We start from the raw sequence: 6,745 nt of genomic DNA on the forward strand, positions 1-6,745 counted from the left end.
TTAGCCCTACCGTCCACAGAACCCAAGACAGCCAGGTGCCCTGCAGGGGCTAGATGGCTACTGAGTAAATGACTGACAACATTCTTGGCTAGGACTAGGAAGAATTCAAGGGCAAAACAGTGGCATTAGACAGCAACTTTTGTTGTTGTTGTTGTTGTTTGGGTTTTTTATTTTTATTTTTTGAGATAGAGTCTTGCTCTGTCGCCCAGGCTGGAGTGCAATGGCGTGATCTTGGCTCACTGCAACCTCCACCTCCAGGGTTCAAGGGATTCTCCTGCCTTAGCCTCTTGAGTAGTTGGGATTACAGGCACATGCCACCATGCCCAGCTAATTTCTTTCTTTCTTTCTTTTTTTTTTTTTTTTTGTATTTTTAGTAGAGACAGGGTTTTGCCATGTTGGCCAAGCTGGTCTGGAACTCCTGACCTCAGGTGATCTGCCCACCTCGGCCTCCCAGAAGTGCTGGGATTACAGGCATGAGCCACCGTGCCCAGCCTAGACAGCAACATTTATTGCAGAGCAGAGCTACCCCATAGGCAGTGTGCCAAGAGCAGCAGCTCAGAGGCAGTGCGGCAGCCCTATTTATAGCCACTTTTAATTATATGCAAATTAAGGGGCAGTTTATGCAGAGATTTCTAGGAAAGGGGTGGCAACTTCCTGGTTGTCAGGACTGTTGCCATGGAAAGGGGCAGTAACTTCCTGGTGTTGCCATAGCAACGGTAAACTGACATGGCACAGGGATGGGCATGTCTTATAGAAAGCGGCTTCCGCCCAGGACCTGTTTTAGGTAGTCCTCAATTTGGTCTGGTGTCTGAGCCCCGCCCACCTCACCCACTTGCTGGACTGCATCCCTCTGCTTGGGTCCTGGCCCCTGCAATCCTGAGGTGCCAGGAACCCATCAGGCAGGTCACAGCCTCCACCCCCCTCCCTGCAGCCTGACTCCAGCTCCAGCCTCAGTCACCTCCTGGCTGGTCCCGGAACACCCCAGCAGCTCCCACCTCAGGCCTTAGCCCGGAACACTTCCCAGGCAGCCCCCAGGCTCATTCTCCCATTGCCCAGAGCCTGTACTCAGAGATCCCTGTGTTGGTTTCCTGGGGCCGCCCTTACAAAGTCCTACAAACTGCGGGGCTTAAACAACAGAAATGTTTAGTCTCACCATTCTGGAGGCCAGAAATTCAAGATTGATACAACAGGACTTGTGTGTCTGTCCTTGGCTTGTGGACAGCCGTCTTCTCTGTGTCCTCATATGGTCATCCCTCTATGTGTGTCTATGTCCTCACCTCTTATAATGACACCAGTCCTGTTGGATTAGAGCCCACCCTGATGACCCCCAATGAAACTTAATTATCCCCTTAAGGATTGTATCTGCAAATGCAGCCACATTCTGAAGTACTGGGGGTTAAGACTTGAACCTATGAATTGGGAGGGATGCAATTCAGCTCATGAACCGCGCCCCCCCCCGCCCCCCCCCGCCCCCCCCCCCGCACAGAATGGTCTTCCCTGACCACTCCTGATGCCACCTTCCTACCCTAATGTGGCACATAGCACTACCGGACACAACCTTCCCCTTTCCCCTCTCCCGCCCCTCCCAGCCCATGAGGATGGAGTTCCTGCAGGAGGAGAAACAATGTTTTCCTCGCTGCCATCTGCAGTACCCAAGACAGCTGGGTACACTGCAGATGCAGGACAGTTGCTGAGTGAATGACTGACAGCCAGCCTCAGCAGGTGCATCCCCAGGGGCTACAATCTGCATGAGAAGTCACCGCCCCCCAGCCCCTGGCGTGCAGAGCATTGAGGGAAGGGCCCTGGGGGTCAGCAGATGGCAGCATGGGACAGTGGTCAGGGCTTCTGTGGAGATGCAGAAGGGCAGGCAGAGCACAGGGAGTGTCCCCACCCAAGGGACGAGCGGGGACCAAGGTCTCAAGGTGGAGCCGGCAGGGCACGTGGCCTGTGGCAGGAGTCCGGTGCTGGGTGGGGGGCTGGCTGCTGTGTGGCTCTCTCTGGAGCCACCCTCCTGGTCCAGGGAAGTGACTCTCACACCCTGAGGCTCCGGCATACCCAGGCACCTTCTCCACCTCCCACAGTCAGCTCAGCTGCCTTGTCCTGTAGTTCAGGAGGAAGGAGGGCTGCCCTGGCATTTCAAGGAACAGAATGTGATGAAGCAGATGCCAAACAGCCTGCCAGCTCCACAGAGCCTACCACAGAGCCCAGCAGGCACTGCCTGTCTCCCTTCCAACCCCAAACCCACATGGCTGGGGCATTCCAGGGACATGCACCCTCCCATGTGCCCCAACCAGCATCCGGGCCCCCAGCCCTCCTGCCAGGCTATGGTTCCCAAGGGCTGTGCTCCCCAAACCTGCTTCTTAATTAGTTTTCCCCACCACTCCCTGATGGTGCCGTACCCACAGCACATGAAACTCTTTCTAGGGTGGATGTCACGTAGCCCCCCAGCGCGTCCCCGCAGGAGCCCTATGCCTGCATGCTTTAATTAAGCAAGTTAATTACTCTCCAACTTGAGGGTCTGATCAGGCCTCCTGCTGGGAATGCCTCACGGAGCTGCTCCGGATCCCACAGCCCCCGGGCATCCCTGACTCCCACAGAGGACCCAGGTTGGGGTTCTCAGAACATCCCAGAATCTCCTGTTAATTTCACCAAGAAATCCAGCTGCAGACTCCTGGTAGAAGGAGTGCTCATCTGGGCAGGGATATTTGTAACACCCAAGGCATAAGGGAGAAAGGGAGCGTGTTCAGGCTGATGTTGGATGCAGGGGTCCCCGAGGTACCCACCTAACAGCACAGGGACTGGGTGACCTGACTTTAGCTCTGGACCCCAGGCTCCATTCCTTGTATCTCCCCCTCCCCCAGCAGGTTTAATCCTGGCTCACTTGCCCAGACCCAAGCAGATTCTCCCAAAATAAGGACCTGCATGGTCACCATCCACATGTCACTGTCCAGCACTTCACAGTTTACAAACTTTTTTTTTTTGAGACGGAGTCTCGCTGTGTCACCCAGGCTGGAGTGCAGTGGAGCAATCATGGCTCACTGCAACTTCAACCTCCTGGGCTCAAGAGATCTGTCCTCCCACCTCAGCCTCCTGAGTAGCTGTCCATGCAGATTAGATATGGGGGTATGTAATGGATTCCATGTGGGTTTGATGTGGGGATCCAATGGATCCCATACAGATTAGACACAGGCATGTGCCACCATGTCTGACAAATTTTTTAAATTTTTTGTAGAGACAGGGTCTCACTATGTTGCCCAGGCTGGTCTCAAACTCCTGGGGTCAAGCGGTCCTCCTGCCTCGGCCTTCCAAAGCATTGGGATTACAGACATGTGCCACTGCCATGGCCCCCACGTTTCTAGAGATATTGCCACACAGCAAGCACAGTGCTAGACAGTTTGCCCATTTCATCTCACCTCCCTGCAGATGCCTGTTGGAGCTCCGCCCATTGTGGATAATGGCAAACAGAAGCTCCTGAGGGTAAAAAACTAGCGCATGGCCACCTGCCTGCAGAGCTGGAGACAGAACCACATCACAGGTTCTAAAGTCTATCCAACACCTCATGGCATGGATTTTTCATTCAGCACATGTTTATTGAGCATCTACTATGTGTCAGGCACTGTTCTAGGAACCAACGACACAGCAGGGAGCAAGGAAATAAAAACTCATCCAGGCATGATGGCACTTTGGGAAGTCCCAGTGCTTTGGGAGGCCGAGGTGGGAGGATCACTTGAGGCCAGGAGTTTGAGACCAGCCTGGGCAACGTAGTGAGACCCCCATCTCTACTAAAAATAAAGCCACACATGGTAGTGCATGCCTGTAGTCCCAGCCGCTCAGGAGGCTGAGGTGAGAGGATCACTTGAGCCCAGGAGTTTGAAACTTCTGTGAACTATGATCACACCACTCTACTCCAGCTTGAGTGACAGAGTAAGACTCTGTCTCTAAAAAAGTAAAAGAACAAAAGAAGAAGTAAAAAACCCTGGCTTCATGGAACTTATATTCTAGTGGAGGAAAGAGATAATTTTCGGTTTTTTTATTTTTATCTTTTTTTTTTTTTTGAGACAGAGTCTTGCTCCGTTGCCCAGGCTGGAGTGCAGTGGCGTGACCTTGGCTCACTGCAAGCTCCGCCTCCCAGGTTCACGCCATTCTCCTGCCTCAGCCTCCCGAGCAGCTGGGACTACAGGTGCCCGCCACCACGCCCGGCTAATTTTTTCTATTTTTTAGTAGAGACGAGGTTTCCACCATGTTAGCCAGAATGGTCTTGATCTCCTGACCTCATGATCTGCCCCCCTCAGCCTCCCAAAGTGCTGGGATTACAGGTGTGAGCCACTGCGCCTGGCATTTTTTTATTTTTTTTTTGAGACAGAGTTTTGCTCTTGTTGCCCAGGCTGGAGTGCAATGGTGCGAGCTCAGCTCACTGCAACCTCTGCCTCCGGGTTCAAGAGATTCTCCAGCCTCAGCCTCCCAAGTAGCTGGGATTACAGACATCCGTCACCACACCTGACTAATTTTTCTATTTTTAATAGAGATGGGTTTTCGCCATGTCGCCCAGGCTGATCTCAAACTCCTGACCTCAGGTGATCCACCTGCCTCGGCCTCCCAAAGTGCTGGGATTACAGGCATGAGCCACCGCACTTAGCCAGAGATAACTTTCAAACATAATATTTAGGGTAAACTATGTGGTATATTAGAAGATTGTGCTACTAAAAGCCTGATGGAGGTAGGAGGGGTAGCGTACAGGGCTTGGAGGCTGAATTTCAAGTTGGAATGATCAGAGCAGGCCTCGTTGAGAAGGTGACAGATGAGCAAAGACCTGTAGGAGATGAGGGAATGAGCCACATGGGTGTCTGGGAGCCTCATCCAGCAGAGAGAACAGCAGTGCAAAGGCCCTGAGGCTGAGCATGCCTCTATGTGTTTAGACATCAAGGAGACCAGCAGCAGGAGAAGTGGCTTGAGCACAGAGGAGAGAGTTCAGAAGTGGGGGCTGCCAGTCCTGGAAAGGACTTTGCTCTGCGACATGAGTCTCTGGAGGGTTTTGAACAGAGAAGGAGAGACACGAACCCGACACCCCCCCATAGGCTTTTCCTTGGGCCATTCTCCTGTGATTAGATTGTGGGGACGAGGTGGACGTAGGGAGTGCTAATGCAGCAATCTAGGGGACAGGTGGTGGTGGCTTGGATGAGGATGGGAGCACAGGAGGTTGGATTCTAGATACATTTTGAAAGTGGAGCCAATGGGACTTGCAGATGGATTATGTATTTATGCATGGATGGGATCTAATGGTTCCATGTGTGTTAGATATGGAGGGATCTAATTGATTCCATGTGGGATAGATATGGAGGGATCTAATGGATTCCATGTGGGTTAGATATGGGGGGATCTAATGGATTCCATGTGAGTTAGATATGGGGGATCTAATGGATTCCATGTGGGTTAGATATGGGGGGATCTAATGGATCCCATGTGGGTTAGATATGGGGGATCTAATTGATTCCATGTGGGTTAGATATGGGGGATCTAATTGATCCCGTGTGGGTTAGGTATGGGGGGATCTAATGGATTCCACGTGGGTTAGATATATGGGTGGATCTAATGGATTCCATGCGGATTAGATATGGGGGATCTAATGGGTTACATGTGGGTTAGATGTAGGGGATCTAATGGGTCCCATGCAGATTAGATATGGGGAGATCCAATGGATCCCATACAGAATAGACATGGTGGGATCTAATCGATTCCATGTGGCTTAGATATAGGAGATCTAATGGATCTCGTGCAGATTAGATATGGTGGGATCTGATTCTCCCATGTGGGTTAAATATGGAGGGATCTAATGGCTCCCATGTGGGTTGGATATGGAGAGATTTAATGAATTCCATGTGGATTAGATATGGAGGAAGAGATGAATCAGAGATCACCCAGGATTGGGCCCAGGATAGCAACTGAAAGAGTGGAGTTGCTATTAACTAGATGAAGAGGTCCCTTGGGGTGGTTTGCAGGTACAGGGAGGAGGTCCAGAAATTCATATTCTGGGAGATGGTAAGTTTCAGATACCTAACTAGACATCCAGGTGCAGAAGTCCAAAACGCAGTTGTATGTACAAGTCTGCAGCTTAAGGGGAATCTACCCTGGAGATATCAGTTTAGGGGTCATTGGTGAATTGATGGTTTTAATGCCATCAGACCATACGAGCTCCCCACGAGAGGGAGAGTAGAAAGAGCAAGAGGTCCAGGGTCCGAGCCCTGGGGCCTAAAGATAGAAGGTTGGTGGGGACTGGGAGGAATCAGGAGAAACCAGCCGGCAGGTTAGGAGGCAAAGCAGATTTAGGGGCCAGGAAACCGAGGGAAGAAAGTTTTCCTGGGAGGACAGAGAGAGCAACTGTGCCCAATGTGGCTTCCAAGTCAAATGGGCTGAGGACAAAGAATCTACCTTGGAGGTCACGGGGCCTTGGTGGGGGGGCAGTTTCCTTGGAGTAGGGCAGGCAAAGCCTTCATGGAGGGGTTAAGAGTGGGGGTGCAGTGGATGGAGGGCAAGAGAGCGTTGGAGCCAGGGAGGAGTTTTTTTGCAAAGCAAAACAGTATATGGGGCAGTGGCTGGAGTAGGTAGGGGGTCAAGAGAGAGGTTCGTAAGACAGGAGGAATAACAGCATCACCTCTCCCAAGCTTCTGCACGGGCGTGGAGTAAAACGAAACTCGTGTGTTACTGATGCGAAGTCGTGCCTTTGCGTCTCACATCCTGGGGGCTTTTA

General features: G+C 51.9%; 3 annotated features.

The window, feature by feature from the left end:
* Positions 474-1,004: an enhancer, noted in NCBI's record as "H3K4me1 hESC enhancer chr7:98383282-98383812 (GRCh37/hg19 assembly coordinates)". NCBI's record gives its function as "activates a minimal SCP1, AML or CMV promoter by ChIP-STARR-seq in primed H9 embryonic stem cells {active_cell/tissue: H9 hESC(primed)}" and the evidence as "EXISTENCE:reporter gene assay evidence [ECO:0000049][PMID:30033119]".
* Positions 1,005-1,532: an enhancer, noted in NCBI's record as "H3K4me1 hESC enhancer chr7:98383813-98384343 (GRCh37/hg19 assembly coordinates)". NCBI's record gives its function as "activates a minimal SCP1, AML or CMV promoter by ChIP-STARR-seq in naive H9 embryonic stem cells {active_cell/tissue: H9 hESC(naive)}" and the evidence as "EXISTENCE:reporter gene assay evidence [ECO:0000049][PMID:30033119]".
* Positions 1,893-1,942: a silencer, noted in NCBI's record as "silent region_18396". NCBI's record gives its function as "represses an Ori minimal core promoter by ATAC-STARR-seq in GM12878 lymphoblastoid cells {active_cell/tissue: GM12878}" and the evidence as "EXISTENCE:reporter gene assay evidence [ECO:0000049][PMID:35858748]".

The sequence above is a fragment of the Homo sapiens genome, chromosome 7 (genome assembly GCF_000001405.40).
Source record: "Homo sapiens chromosome 7, GRCh38.p14 Primary Assembly".
NCBI lineage: Eukaryota > Metazoa > Chordata > Mammalia > Primates > Hominidae > Homo > Homo sapiens.